Below are 15,124 nucleotides of genomic sequence, written 5' to 3' on the forward strand. Positions count from 1 at the left end.
TAGCTGGGACTACAGGCGCCTGCCACCACGCCCGGCTAATTTTTGTATTTTTAGGAGACAGGGTTTCACTGTGTTAGCCAGGATGGTCTCCATCTCCTGACCTGTGATCCTCCCGCCTCGGCCTCCCAAAGTGCTGGGATTACAGACGTGAGCCACCGCACCCGGCTCCACTCGTTTTTTAAGAGAGGGTGTCGCCCTGTTTCCCAGGCTGGAGTGCAGTGGCACAACAATGGTTCATTGCGGCCTCCACCTCCCAGGCTCAAGTGATCCTCCAGCCTCAGCCTCCTGAGTAGCTGGGACTACAGGCACGGACCACAACACCTGGCTAATTTTAACACTTTTTGTAGAGATGGGGTCTCGCTGTGTTCCCCAGGCTGGTCTTGAAGTCCTGAGCTCAAGCGTTCCTCCTGCCTCGGCCTCCCACAGTGCTGGGATTACAGGCATGAGCCACTGCGCCCGGCCTGCTGTTCACTTGAATGCAGCATTCCACAGCATGGGGGAACCCGGATGAAGGCTGTGTGAAGGCCCACACTGGACAAGGACCCCCCACGGGGCCTTCCCCATCAGACTGGAGCTGTCATTCCCCCACAGCACAGGATGGACAGGGGGAACGTCCAGGCTCGGGCCAGCCCCCAGGAGTCCAGGCAGCCCTGGAGTGTGGGGAAGGGAAACAGGCCCAGCTCAGCCTACTGACCCCGCTGTCTTCCTGTTCCAGACACGACCGACTTCCAGGAGAGCTTTGTCACCTCCGGCGTGTTCAGCGTCACTGAGCTCATCCAAGTGTCCCGGAGTGAGTGTTCCCGTCAGCCCTGAGCTGGGTCTTGGAGAGGGGAGGGGGCCGCAGGGAGGAAGGAGCCCACCCCCCTCACCCTACTCCTTGTCCTTTCCAGACAACCCCCTGTGTCACTAAGCCAAGGTTCCTAGAAAGGGAGGTGGCCAGGCCCTTCCCAGAGCCCAAGGTCAGGGCTCCCTCCCACCTCTCCAGGAAACAGAATCTAAATGCTGGATGGCAACTAAGGAAACTTCTGCCCCAGCATCCCTCCTCCTCCCTGGGGCCTCCACTGTCCTGTCCCAGGAGACCCCAAAGGACCCCGCCCCTCCTGTCCCCTTGCTTTCTCTGCTGACCTGCTGGGGACCCAGCACATTCCGTCACACACTGTCTGAATCCCACCCCAGCGAGTCCTGGGCGCTGTCCTTCTTTAGCCCTGACTGACACCTTCCCTGTCCAGATCAGCAGAGCCTGGCCTCCAGCTTTGGCTACACCTCTGCCTCACAGTGTGCTCTTGGCCTCTCCCCATGGCCTTGGTCCTCTGATCCATAGAATAAAACTGGTTTCAGCCACCCTAGGAACCGGGCCAATATGGGAAGGGGGTCCCCCTTTGGACTGCACCCAGTGGCTTTCCCTACCTCTCTAAAGCAAACCGCAGCACTGGGCACTGCTTCCTGCCTCACTCTCCTCTGTCACCCTCTGCAGCACCCGTGGTGACTGGAACAGGACCCAACTTCTCCCTGGGGGAGCTGCAGGGGCACCTGGCATACGACCTGAACCCAGCCAGCACTGGCCTCAGAAGAACGCTGCCCAGCACCTCCTCCAGTGGGTAAGTACCCAGGTCCCCACCTCTGGGCATTTCATGACCCCATTCATCAACCCATCCCCTCTGGCCCGAGCTGACTCATTCCTCTCCCTGGAATACCTCTTTTCACGATTCACCTGGCCTGAGAAACTCCTACTCATCTCATCCTTCAAAACCCAGCCAGCCCCACGTGCCTCTTCCCCTAGCCCTGACAGCCCACCGTGGGCTCCCCCAGCCTCAAGTCCTGCCGGCTCAGCCAGCCCTTAGGACCCTCCCCACCCAGAAGAATGCAGACACAGGTTGTTGCTGAGATATGCTTTGTGACCTCGAGCAGGTCACACTGTGTGTGCCCCAGTTTCCCCATCCATAAAATGGGATCATACCCCTAACAGGCAGTTCTGAGGACTACAGGTGGCCAGGAGATTAGCCAGGCTGCCTGGGTTTTGGTCTCCACCATGCTAGCTTGGTGTCCGACCTGTGTTGAGACCCTCCCTGCCTCTGGCCCGGGTGTCCCATCCAAGCAATGGACAGGTTGGAACAGGCGTTCGTAGGGAACGGGCTGAACGCCCGCGGCTCCCGCGATGTCTCGCGATACTACCTCCCTCGCCCCCGCTCACTTAAGGACCGGAAGTAGCAAAGCCCGCCGTCGCGCCCCCCGCCCCGCGTCTCCCTGGTAACCAGCCTCTCCCCTTCCCTCGCCCATAAGGAGCAAGCGGCACAAATCGGGCTCGATGGAGGAAGACGTGGACACGAGCCCTGGCGGCGATTACTACACTTCGCCCAGCTCGCCCACGAGTAGCAGCCGCAACTGGACGGAGGACATGGAAGGAGGTAGGGCTGGTGGCGGGGGCGGAGCCGGCCTTCCGGTCTGAGTCACCGTGGCGGGAACTACGTCTTCCGGCAGCCACTGCGCGGGCGCCGCGGGGCAGGAAGCCGGCCTGGAGCCGCGGGGCCTCCTGGGAATTGTAGTCGTCCCGAGCTGCGCTTGGCTGGAAGTACGGTCCGGGTTCGCGTTCTCGGATCTCTTTGGTTCCGCTGCGGCGAAGGAGGGCAGAGACTGTCCCCTGCCTGACTCTCCTGCCCTCCGGCCGTGAATGCCACATCTCTGTGGGGTCCCCGAGCTGCAGGATGGACTCAGTAGTGACTCTGATCAACAGGGCGCCTCTTCCTGGGATCTGTCATAGAATCCCTCGTCTGTAGGGACCCTGTTTGTCCTCTTCCCCTCTAGAAGGTCCTGAGATGCCGGATCCCTTCTCATTGGGGTCCTTCTTGAGGTTACTTTTTTTTTTAACCAGGTTCCCATCTCCATGGGATCTTCTGGTTCTGCAGGAGACTCGTCTCCTTTCTGTAGGGTCTCCATTCCCATGGCGTCGTTTTCTAGGAAGATTTTATCCTCTTGCTTTTCTGTCTTCAGAAGGGTCCTCTCTGGGGTGTCTTTCTTTCTTTCTTTCTTTCTTTCTTTTTTTTGAGATGGAGTTTCGCTCTTGTTGCCCAGGCTGGAGTGCAATGGCGCGATCTCCGCTCACTGCAGCCTCCACCTCCCTGGTTCAAGCAATTGTCCTACCTCAGCCTCCCAAGTAACTGGGATTACAGGCATGCACCACCATGCCCGGCTAATTTTTTCTATTTTTAGTACAGACGGGGTTTCACCATGTTGGTCAGGCTGGTCTCAAACTCCCGACCTCAGGTGATTCGCCCGCCTCGGCCTCCCAAAGTTCTGGGATTACAGGCGTGAGCCACCACGCCCGGCCTCTGTTTTTGTTTGTTTGTTTGTTTGTTTGTTTTTGAAACGGAGTCTCGGTCTGCTGCCCAGGCTGGAGTGCCGGGGTGCAATCTTGGCTCACTGCAGCCTCGACCTCCCAGGTTCAAGTGATCCTCCTGCCTCAGCCTCCCAAGTATCGGACTGCAGGTGCATACTGCCATGCGCCGTTAATTTTTTTTTTTTTTTTTTTTTTTTTTTTGGTAGAGATGGGGTCTCACTATGTTGCCTAAGCTGGTCTTGAACTCCTGAGTTCAAGTGTGATCTTTCCTCCTGCCTCGTCCTCCCAAAGTGCTGGGATTCCAGGTGTGAGCCACCATGCCGGGCCCCTCTTATTTTTTTTTAATTTTTGTTTTTTGAGATGGAGTCTTGCTCTGTCACCCAGGCTGGAGTGCAGTGGCGAGATCTTGGCTCACTGCAACCCTTCCTCCTGAGTTCAAGCAATTCTCCTGCCTCAGCCTCCCAAGTAGCTGGGATTACAGGCACCCACCACCACACCCGGCTAATCTTTATATTTTTAGTAGAGACAGTGTTTCACCATGTTGGCCAGTCTGGTCTCAAACTCCTGACCTCAGGTGATCCACCCACCTCGGCCTCCCAAAGTGCTGGGATGACAGGTGTGAGCCACTGCTCCCGGCCACCTGTAGGATTTTTAGAAGCAGTATAACATTAGGATTAAGAGGTCAGATTCAGGCATTGGAGAGACCTGGGTTCAGATCCCAGCCCTGCCCGTGTCTAGCTCTGTGTGCTGTGTAACCTGGGGCACATCACTTAACTTCTCTAAGCCTCAGTTTCTTCATCTCCACAATGGGGGTGATGTGAATAATGTTCTTTGGGAGCTACAGGAGGAGGAAGGGTAGGATGTGCGTGAAGCAACCGTCTGGCCCATGCGACATACCCGGGAAACGGGAGGTCACTGTCATCCACGTCTTTATAACATTCCTGTCTCTGACCAGGCTCGGTGGCTCACGCCTGTAATCCCAGCACTTTGGGAGGCCGAGGCAGGCGGATCACGAGGTCAGGAGATCGAGACCATCCCGGCTAACACAGTGAAACCCCGTCTCTACTAAAAATACAAAAAAAATAGCCGGGCGTGGCGGCGGGTGCCTGTAGTCCCAGCTACTCAGGAGGCTGAGGCAGGAGAATGGCATGAACCCGGGAGGCGGAGCTTGCAGTGAGCTGAGATGGCGCCACTGCACTCCAGCCTGGGTGACAGAGCGAGACTCCGTCTCAAAAAAAAAAAAAAATTCCTGTCTCTTTCCGGCACTCGGACGCATCTAGTTGTGACATTTCAGGTGCCAAGGCCCCTCCCTTCCACAGTGTGGGCTCCCAGAGCAGGAACATTCCTAAAGGGTCTCCATCCCTCAGGGGACCTGTCTCAGTATTTATGAGGTTCTTTTTTTGTTTGTTTGTTGTTTTTGTTTTGAGATGGAGTCTTGCTTGTTTTGAGAGATCACGCCAGTGCACGCCAGCCTGGGCAACAGAACGAGACTATGTCTCAAAAAAAAAAAAAGAAAAAAAAAGTCACTTCTGTTTCGTTTTTTTTGTTTTTTGTTTTTTGTTTTTTTTTTGAGACGGAGTTTCGCTCTTATCACCCAGGCTGGAGTGCAGTGGTGCAATCTCGGCTCCACCTCCTGGGTTCAAGTGATTCTCCTGCCTCAGCCTCCCGAGTAGCTGGGACTACAGGCGGGCACCACCACAACCAGCTAATTTTTGTATTTTTAGTAGAGACGGTTTTTACTATGTTGGCCAGGCTGGTCTTGAACTCCTGACCTCAAGTGATCCGCCAACCTCAAGTGATCCGCCCATCTCAGCCTCCCAAAGTGCTGGCATTACAGGTGTGAGCCACCGCACCCAGCCGTGACTTCTCATTAACTCTGTAATTGATGAGGCTGTCAGAATGTAAACTGCACGCTAATTAAAGTGAAAGACCACCTTTGCGATGAGCCAAAGCAACCCTGAGAGGAAAAATTGTAGCTTTAAGTCTATTTATTAGGAGAGGAGAAAGGTGGAAAATAAAGAATCTAGCTTTCAACAGAGAAAACTCAAAAAGAAAACATTTTAAGCTCTGGAGCTCAGTCTGACTTTTCTGCCCGGCTGCTCACTGGCAACCCCTTCCACTGGGGAAGGAGGTGGTAGCAATGGGGGGAGGACAAAGAGGAAGCCCCCACCAGCTTCTGCTCTGTGATTGGGAATCGCAGAGCTAGCAGGGAATGTCAGAGGAGGTCTGTGCTCCTGCAGCTTCCACTTGATTACCTCAGGGGATGGCAAACTCACTCCCTCCTGAGGGTTTCTTTTTTTTTTTTTTTTTTTTCTTTTTGAGACAGAGTCTCGCTCTGTCGCCCAGGCTGGAGTGCAGTGGCGCCATCTCAGCTCACTGCAAGCTCCGCTTCCCGGGTTCACGCCATTCTCCTGCCTCAGCCTCCCGAGTAGCTGGGACTACAGGCACCCACTACCACGCCCGGCTAATTTTTTCTATTTTCAGTAGAGACGGGGTTTCACCGTGTTAGCCAGGATGGTCTCGATCTCCTGACCTCGTGATCCGCCCATCTCGGCCTCCCAAAGTGCTGGGATTACAGGCGTGAGCCACCGCACCCGGCCTCCTCCTGAGGGTTTCATCCTCAGTGTAAAGCCCTCCTGTGTGCTGGCCCTACCTGAGGCCCTGGGGACACAGAGATGATCCAACCCACTCTTGTCCCTACCTTCCAGGGGCTAACAGCCTAGTGAGGGAGATGGGTTTTTATCCAGGTGACTACAGCCCAGAGGAGGAGGCACAGAAGACAGTCAGGGGGAACAAGAGGACCCTGATAGAACTTGGAAGAAAAGGGAGGACCTCCCCGAGGAGGAGAATCAGGCTGACAGAGCAGTGAGGAGCTCGGGCAACTGGCTTCTCTGCTTCTCCAGCTGTGTGACATTTGGCAGGTTCCTTAACCTCTCTGCCCCTCAATTTCCTCTGCTATACGATCAGGTTGCTGGCCGGGTGCAGTGGCTTACAACTGTAATCCTAGCAATATGGCAAGACCCCATCTCTACTTAAAAAAAAAAAAAAAATAGCATCACATAGTGGTGTACACCTGTAGTCCCAGCTCCTTGGGAGGCTGAGGTGAGAGGATTGCTTAAGACGGGAGGTCAAAGCTGCCCTGAGCTATGATCATACCACTGCACTCCATCCGGGGCAACAGAGAAAGACCCTGTCTCAAAAAAAAAAAAAAAAAAAAAAAAAAAAAAAAAAAAAAAAAAGGCTCACCTGTAATCCCAGCACTTTGGGAGGCCGAGGCAGGCGGATCACCTGAGGTCAGGAGTTCGAGACCAGCCTGGCCAACAGGGTGAAACCCCATCATTACTAAAAACACAAAATTAGCCGGGTGTGGTGGTGGGCACCTGTAATCCCAGCTACTCGGGAGGCTGAGGCAGGAGAATCACTTGAACCTGGGAGGCGGAGGGTGCAGTGAGCCGAGATTGTGCCATTACACTCCAGCCTGGGCAACAAGAGCGAAACTCCATCTCAAAAAACTCTGCCTTGATATCCCAGTGAAGAGAAAACACTGGAAGAATTTTTTTTTTTTTTTTTTTGTCAGAGTCTTGCTCTGTCGCCCAGGCTGGAGTGCAGTGGTGTGATCTCGGCTCACTGCAAGCTCCGCCTCCCGGGTTCATGCCATTCTCCTGCCTCAGCCTCCCGAATAGCTGGGACTACAGGCACCCACCACCATGCCCGGCTAATTTTTTGTATTTTTAGTAGAGACGGGGTTTCACCGTGTTAGCCAGGATGGTCTCGATCTCCTGACTTCGTGATCTGCCCGCCTCGGCCTCCCAAAGTGCTGGGATTACAGGCGTGAGCCACCGCGCCCGGCCAAACACTGGAAGAATTTTAACACCCGTGGCCCAGGGCTGGACTTTACGTAAAGCACGCACCTGGGGCGTGAGAGCCGGGTTTATTATTAATTCGCGGCTAAGCTACAACCGGGATGATTTAAGTGGATTTATCCGCAGGGAAGATGATGGGAGGGCATTCCCAGCAGGGAGAATCGTGGTTTGAGGAGTTGCACTGTGGATGTTTGGGGCCAGACCATCCTCTGGGGCGGGGCTGTCTTGGGCACTGTTGGGTGCTGTGCAGAGTTCATGGCCTCCACCCACTCCGTGTCAGGAGCACCCCCCAGTGGTGACAACCGTAAATGTCCCCAGACCTGGCCAAATGTCTCTTGCGGGCAGAATCTCCCCTATAATATAGCCAGAGGCATATGCAAAGCACCTAAACGGAGTGGGGAGAAGGTGCGTGACCCCTGGTCTGGGCCACTCTTTTTTTTTTTTTTGAGACGGAATCTCTCTCTGTCGCTCGCCCAGGCTGGGGTGCAATGCGCGATCTTGACTCACTGCAAGCTCTGCCTCCCAGGTTCAAGCGATTCTCGTGCCTCAGCCTCCCGAATAGCTAGGATTACAGGTGCCCGCCACCACGGCTGGCTAATTTTTGTATTTTTAGCGGAGGCGGGTTTTCACCATGTTGGCCAGTCTGGTCTGGAACTCCTGACCTCAGGAGTTCCACCACACCCGGCTAATTTTGTGTTTTTAGTAATGATGGGGTTTCACCCTGTTGGCCAGGCTGCTCTCGAACTCCTGACCTCAGGTGATCCGCCCGCCTCGGCCTCCCAAAGTGCTGGGATTACAGGCGTGAGCCACTGCGCCTGGCCTTTTTTGTTTTGTTTTGTTTTGTTTTTCCCAAATAGTGACTTGCTCTGTCGCCCAGGATGGAGTGCAGTGGTGCGATCAGCGCCCACTGGGCTCATGCCATCCTCCTTCCTCAGCCTCCCAAGTAGCTGGGACTATGGGCACTTGCCAACACACCTGGCTATTTTTTGTACTTTTTGTAGAGACAGAGTTCCCTGTGTTGCCCAGGCTGGTCTTAAACTCCTGGGCTCATCCTCCTGCCTCTGCTTCCCACAGTGTTGGGATGGCAGGTGTGAGCCACCACACCCGGCTGGCCGCTTTTTCTCTATGTCCCTTCCCAACATTTTAGTCCCAGACAGCCCTGCGGAGGTGCCTGGCAGGCACCTCATTTTGCAGAGGGAAACCCTGAGGCTCAAAGAGGTGACATCACCTGCTCCAGGTCACCCCAGCGGCAAGCGGGTGCACAGGGACACGGAACCACGTGGCCGTTCCCAGCGGCCCCACTCAGGGTACCTCGCTCTCTTTGTTTTATGGGGCATCTGTGATGTCCTAAGCCGGGTTATTTCCCCTCCCGGCAACACTCTGTGAGATCAGGGCTGCCCCTGGCCATCAGTTGACAAGTGGGGAAACTGAGGCCCAAAGGTCCCACAGCAAAGAAGGGGCAGAGCCCCGAGCTTATGCCCAGTGCTTCCTGGGCCTCTCCCCATCGCTGTGGCCTGCATCGGTAAACATTTCGCAGCCTCTGAAGTCCCAAGGGGGACGCCTCAGAACAGGCCTGGCCCCTGGGCTGGAGCAGGGTTCCTGAGGTTCCCAGTGGGGCCCAGCTGTAACCTCATTGGTGGACCGAGGCAAGGGCCAGAGGGGCCCAAGGGAAGGGCCAGAGGGGCCGGGGGCACAGGAAGGGCCGGAGGGGCTGGGGGCACGGGGAGGGCCAGGCTTATTGTTGCAGCCTGCAAGGCTGTCCCAAGCCGGGTGCCTCCGCAGAGGGAGGACACAAAACAGGAACCCAGGCAGGCAGGGTCTCTCCCGAAGGTGCCCTTGGCCCCTGGCCACCACCCTGGGATGCTCCTCCTCCTCCTCGGCATCCTCCCCCCACCCTTCCCTGCCCTTTCCAGCTTCCTGTCTAGACAGCCCCCAATTAGCCACTCATTAAGGGGGTTAAGCTGATTAGAGCAGCTCTCCCTTCCTCTGGCGGACTCGGGGCCTTTTCTCCCGGGCAGTGCTCAGCCAGTCCCCAACCCTGAGGCTCACAGAGGCCTGGGGGGATCATGCCAGCCCGATGCCAGGCAAGACCCCCACCCCACACCTCCAGGCCCCACATTCCAGCCTCTAGGCTTTGCCCGCTTGGGGCCTGGGCCAGGCCCTTTCTCCTGGCCGCCTCCACCCGAGGCCTCCCTGCTTACGCGGCTGCGTGGGGTGGAGGGAAGGTGCCTTGGAGCAGCCCCCACTGTGCTTTGTTTTTGCTGCTTGTGTAGCTCCCCCTTGAAGGCGACAAAGGTCCCGTCCACAGGCGGTTATTACACAGGGCGGGGCAGGCAGCCCCCATCCATTCCTCTCCTCTGTCACCCCAGGCTTCCCATCCCTTTTTTTTTTTTTTTTTTGAGTCAGAATCTCACTCTGTTGCCCAGGCTGGAGTGCAGTGGCATGATCTCGGCTCACTGCAGCCTCTGCCTTCCAGATTCAAGCAATTCTTCTGCTTCAGCCTCGCAAATAGCTGGGACTGGGACTACAGGCGCCTGCCACCATGACCAGCTAATTTGTGTATTTTTAGTAGAGATGGAGTTTCACCATGTTGGCCAGGCTGGTCTCAAACTCCTGACCTCAAGTGATCCGCCCGCCTCGGCCTCCCACAGTGCTAGGATGACAGGTGTGAGCCACCGAGCCCAGCCCGCCCATCCCTTTTTTTAACCCCAGGGTGGAGGCTAGTGCAACGTGGCCTGGGGAGGGACAGAGTTGGGTTCCAACTCCACCTCCACCCCCCCTTGGCTCTATGGCCTTAGGCGAGTGACGTCCCCCATCAGGCCTCAGCCTCCACATCTGTGAAATGGGCGCAGCTCCTGTAAGCTCTGCACGGGGCAGCTGTGAGGACCACATTAAGAGAGGAGGCTAGTGCCTTCACAGAAGGTCCTCACCCAGGGCGATGCTGCCCCACCCCCAGGGACACTGGCCGGTGTCTAGGGACATCTGTGGTTGTCACAACTGGGAGAGCTCTTGACATGGAGTGGGTCGAGGCCAGGGATGCTGCTTAGCACCCTGCAGTGCCCAGGACAGCCCCTCCCCAGGGAACGAGCCAGCCCCAATGTCTACAGTGCTGAGGCTGAGAAACCTGTATTAATTATGTAGAAAAAAATTGAGGCTGAGTGTGGTGGCTCACACCTGTAATCCCAGCACTTTGGGAGGCCAAGGCTGGAGGATCGCTTGAGCCTAGTAGTTTGATAACATAGGGAAACCCTGTCTCTACAAAAAAATACCAAATTAGCTGCATGTGGTGGCGTGTGCCTGTAGTCCCAGCTACTCGAGAGGCTGAGGTTGGGAGGATCGCTTGAGCCCAGGAGGTCAAGGCTGCAGTAAGCTATGATTGCACCAGTGCACTCCAGTCTGGGCAACAGCGTGAGACCCTATCTCAAAAAAAAAAAAAGAAAAAGAAAAAAGTCTGCCCCCTGCTCACAACGGAATAAACTCCTAGTGTGGCAGACGGTGTGTAAACCAGGGGGACCCCCAGCTCCTGGGACTCACCTCCTCTCTCCCTCCCCACTCAAGGTGTGGATTTCAATGTGTGCAGCCTCCTGGGACCTCTGCAGGGCAGAGGATCATGGGACGCAGAGGATCATGGGACGCAGAGTCTCTTGGGGGTCCATGGAATCCTCTAAGACAGAGGATTTTACCTATGGGTGATCCTGACCCCAGAGGACACTGGGTGACATCTGGGGACCTGTGTGGTTGTCACGACTGCAGGGTGGTCCTGGCATGGATTGGGTCCAGGGACACCGCTTAGCACCCTGCAGTGCTCAGGATGGCCCCACCCTAGAGAATGATCCGGTCCCAAATGTCCACAGGGCCCAGAGGAGACCTTGGTGCACTGTCAACGCCCCGTGGTCACTGCTGTCCTCATCAGATTCATGCCCTGCATCGGGGCCTCTGTCCACTCCACACACTCTGTGTAGGGCCCCTCCTGACCCCGGACCCTAGAGACCCAGCCAGAGTGGGCCTTGGCCCCCTGGGGGAGCCGGCATTTCAGTGGGAGATGGGCTTGTTTGTTGAGCAAACAAATGGCTGCTCCGACGGGGTGATGAGGGCCTTTTGTCAAATACAAAGAGGAGGTCAGATGGGCGTGTGTGACAAATGGCTGCTCCGACGGGGTGATGAGGGCCTTTTGTCAAATAGAGGAGGTCAGATGGGCGTGTGTGACAAATGGCTGCTCCGTCGGGGTGATGAGGGCCTTTTGTCAAATACAGAGAGGAGGTCAGATGGGCGTGTGTGTTAAACAGACAGGAAGAAGCTCTGATGGGGGAGCCCTCGGGCCTGCGTCCTCCTCACAGTCAATATTCTCAGATGGGGCATTCAGGATGCCGGGAGGGGCGTATGGATGTGTTCCCTGAGAGGAAAGATGGCCACTGAGATGGGCGGGGGACGCACATGCCCGCTGGCTGAACAGGGAGGTCCCACAGGGGTCCCAGGCATGCCTGCTGAACAGACAGAGGATGCTTGGAGGCGGGGTGCAGAGTCAGTGTCCGTAGAGCCTGCCGGGAGCGTGCCGGCTTATTCTTTCTCGCGGTGCCTGAGCTGCGCTCCCCCCTCCTTCCTGCCCTGCCCTGGCTGCCGCTGGCCCCATCTCAGGAAGCTCTAGCGGTGCCTGCAGGGATGTGGCGGCCGGGGGTGGAGTCTGAGCCAGACTATTTCCATCCAGGACAAGCGGTTCTAGGAAATCCTCCTAAATGAGCGTCTGACAACCCTAACCTCGTTCCCGCCGTGGCCCTGCGCTTGCAGGGAGCTGCCAGCCCCTGCACACACACACACACGCTTGCACACACGCATGCATGCTCATACATATATGCACGCACGTGCACAGGCGTGCACACATGTATGCATGCATGCTTGCAGACCTGTACGTGTGCGTGCAAGCACACATACATAGACATGAACATGCATGTGCAGGCATACACATACATGCATATATTCACGTGCACACGCATGTGCGCATTCACACACATAGACACGTGCACAGGCATACACATACACAGATATGAACGTGCATGTACAGGCATACATATGCAGGCGTGCACACGTCCACATATGCTCACATGCGTACACACACATGCACAGACATGCACACATGCATGCAGCTGTGCACATGCGTGCAGGCATACACACATACATGCACGCACACACATGCATGTATTCACATGCACACACACACGTGCACAGGCATACACATGCACACACACGTGCCGACAAGACCAGCCTGGCCTCCCCGGCTCCAGGCCACCCTCATTCCTGCCACATCCTCCTGCCCTGGAAAAGCCCGGGCCTGGCTGCTGGGGCCCAGCTTGGTCACAGACTTCATGGCATCCCACTGGGCAGTGGGGCCTCTCTGGGTGGCTCAGCCTCGATGTCCGAGGCCTCAGGAGTGTTCCCCCTTGAGTGTTCACAGGCTGGGCATGAGTGGAGGTGTCATCCTTCCTGCCCCCCATGTGGGTGTCCTGGGTGCCCGCCTCCTCCAGAGCCGGGTGTTCCCGGGTCCCTGGGAACTGCTGACCTGCTTCTGGGGTGTGTCCCAGTGACACCTTCACTCCTCACAGCATGGTGTGTGCAGGGCCATGGGGACAGCTGGTTCCATAACCACAAAAGCAGATGAAGAGCTGCATGTCCCCCCACAGCTGGGTCCTGGATCTGGGCTCCCCCTGGGCTGCAGCCATCAGAGAGGACGGAAGTTCCCTGAGTGGTAACCCCGTTCAGGGAAGGATGCAGCGATGCTGGGAGGATGGAGGAGGTGGGGACAGGACTGGGGAGGGCCTGTACCACACAGATGCCTGCAGGTGCCTATGGAACCACCAGCAGGAGACCCAAGACACGGTGACATCCTCACCGTTTCTCATCAGGGCATCACCCGGGGACAGCAGGTCACATCTGGGGACATCCGTGGTTGTCCCCACTGAGGGGCGCTCTTGGCACGGAGTGGGTGGAGGCCAGGGGTGCTGCTCAGCGCCCTGCAGTGCCCAGGACAGCTCCCTACAGAGACCGATCTGGCCCCCACATCAGCAGTGCTGAGACTGAGAAATCCTGCGTGAATTATTTGGAAAATATTGAGTTACGTCACTGCTCACACCAGACACCAGAAGAAGCTCCTGACAGGGCAGACGGTAGAAACCAGGGGGACCCCAGCTCCTGGGATTCACCTCCTCTCTCCCTCCTCACTCCGTGTGGATTTCAGTGTGTGCAGCCTCCTGGGACCACAGCAGGGCAGAGGATCATGGGACATAGTCTCGTGGAGGGTCCATGGGATCCCCTAACCCAGAGGGTCTCACCCACACGTGATTCTTGCCCAGGGTACTTTTGGTGATGTCTGGGGACATCTGTGGTTGTTACAACCGGGGGTGCTCCTGGCATGAAGTGGGTGGTGGCCAGGGACTCTGCTCAGCACCCTGCAGTGCCCAGGAGGGCCCCACCCCAGAGAATGATCCAGCCCCAGTGTCCACAGTGCCTGTCTGAGAGACCCTGGAGGTAAGGAACTCCAAGGGCCAGGTCGAAGGGAAGCTAAACTCATCACCCTGTTTGGATGGTCTCAGTAGATATGTTTTACCTTAAAAGAAATGTAAAAATCCTTTCTAAAAATTCGGCTCCCCAGGGCACGCCTCCCTGAGATTCCATTTCCAGGGATAGGGTAGGGCCCAGGACACTGCATTTCTCAGGCAAGATGTGATCCTTAGCCCTCACTTGAAAAAGCTTCTCTGGGGCCAGGCACTGTGGCTCACGCCTGTAATCCCAGCACTTTGAGAGACCAAGGCAAGAGGATCCCTTGAGCCCAGGAGTTTGAGACCAGCCTGGGCAACATAGCAAGACCCCATCTCTAAAAAAAAAATTGCCTGGACATGATGGTGCATGCCTGTGGTCCCACCTACCTGGGAGGCTGAGGTGGGAGGATCACTTAAGCCCAGGAGGTTGAGGCTGCAGTGAGCCATGATCGTGCCTCTGCACTCTAGCCTGGGTGACAAATAACTCGGCTGGGTGCAGTGGCTCACGCCTATAATCCCAGCACTTTGGGAGGCCGAGGTGGGTGGATCACCTGAGGCCAGGAGTTTGAGACCAGCCTGGCCAACATGGTGAAACCCCATCTCTACTAAAAATACAAAAATGACCCGGGCGTGGTGGTGGGCGCCTGTAATCCCAGCTACTCGGGAGGCTGAGGCAGTAGAATCGCTTGAACCTGGGAGGCGGAGGTTGCAGCGAGCCGAGATCACGCCATTGCACTCCAGCCAGGGCGACAGAGGGAGACTCTATCTCAAAAAAAAAAAAAAAAAAAAGACACAGCCCCAGAAGGCCAGGCATTTCGGCTCCAGAGCTGGGACTCCACCCCAGCCTCCTGGAAATACCCAAAATGGCCCTCTTTGGGGCTCTGTGTTCCCACTTCATTTTGAAGACAGGGTGAAAGTGTCAAGGGGCACCGTGTCATCTCCCCACTCACCCCAAATAGCAGCAGCAGCGGCTCCTGCAGTAGCTAACATTCTTCCAGCTGGGTGGCTGACGTTCCCTCGGAAAGCAGGGCTGAAGGCATCCTCAGAGAATGCCCCGATGCCCAGGGATCTGGGACGGCCATGGGCTTCACCTGCACAGGCACCCCTGGCCCAATCCTCACAGCTGCCACTCCCACACTGCTCCCGATGGAAATTCCAGAGCTTTACAGAATCCCCTGTTTTATGAAAAGGGGTAGACGTGGCAGCTCACCCCAGGTCGCACAGCCTCATGGCCAGCCGGGGTTTGAACCCTGGACCACCTGCTTCCCCCACACCCAGGGGCTTTCCAGGGGGTGCCTGGAGGGGGAGGGAAGCCGATGTTTGGTGGGTGAGCCTCCCTGAGTCCATCCGTTTTTTGTTTGTTTGTTTACTTGCTTGTTTGTTTTTGAGACAGTTTC

General features: G+C 56.4%; 1 protein-coding gene across 5 annotated transcripts in view, besides 4 other annotated features; it reads left to right on the forward strand.

Annotated features, from left to right (window-relative positions):
• Window positions 1–15,124, forward strand: part of NFIC (nuclear factor I C) — a 109,588-nt gene that overhangs the window by 73,173 nt on the left and 21,291 nt on the right. For all 5 annotated transcript variants that reach the window (NM_205843.3, NM_001245005.2, NM_001245002.2 and 2 more), the window contains exons 4-6: window positions 716–790; window positions 1,475–1,598; window positions 2,281–2,405. In NM_205843.3, coding sequence (NP_995315.1) covers window positions 716–790; window positions 1,475–1,598; window positions 2,281–2,405 — 324 coding nt within the window. The remainder of the gene's footprint in view (window positions 1–715; window positions 791–1,474; window positions 1,599–2,280; window positions 2,406–15,124) is intronic.
• Window positions 1,303–2,080: an enhancer, noted in NCBI's record as "H3K27ac-H3K4me1 hESC enhancer chr19:3434103-3434880 (GRCh37/hg19 assembly coordinates)". NCBI's record gives its function as "activates a minimal SCP1, AML or CMV promoter by ChIP-STARR-seq in primed H9 embryonic stem cells {active_cell/tissue: H9 hESC(primed)}" and the evidence as "EXISTENCE:reporter gene assay evidence [ECO:0000049][PMID:30033119]".
• Window positions 2,081–2,858: an enhancer, noted in NCBI's record as "H3K27ac-H3K4me1 hESC enhancer chr19:3434881-3435658 (GRCh37/hg19 assembly coordinates)". NCBI's record gives its function as "activates a minimal SCP1, AML or CMV promoter by ChIP-STARR-seq in naive and primed H9 embryonic stem cells {active_cell/tissue: H9 hESC(naive and primed)}" and the evidence as "EXISTENCE:reporter gene assay evidence [ECO:0000049][PMID:30033119]".
• Window positions 2,785–2,834: an enhancer, noted in NCBI's record as "active region_13734". NCBI's record gives its function as "activates an Ori minimal core promoter by ATAC-STARR-seq in GM12878 lymphoblastoid cells {active_cell/tissue: GM12878}" and the evidence as "EXISTENCE:reporter gene assay evidence [ECO:0000049][PMID:35858748]".
• Window positions 12,507–13,048: an enhancer, noted in NCBI's record as "H3K4me1 hESC enhancer chr19:3445307-3445848 (GRCh37/hg19 assembly coordinates)". NCBI's record gives its function as "activates a minimal SCP1, AML or CMV promoter by ChIP-STARR-seq in naive and primed H9 embryonic stem cells {active_cell/tissue: H9 hESC(naive and primed)}" and the evidence as "EXISTENCE:reporter gene assay evidence [ECO:0000049][PMID:30033119]".

This window comes from Homo sapiens, chromosome 19, assembly GCF_000001405.40.
Source record: "Homo sapiens chromosome 19, GRCh38.p14 Primary Assembly".
Lineage (NCBI taxonomy): Eukaryota > Metazoa > Chordata > Mammalia > Primates > Hominidae > Homo > Homo sapiens.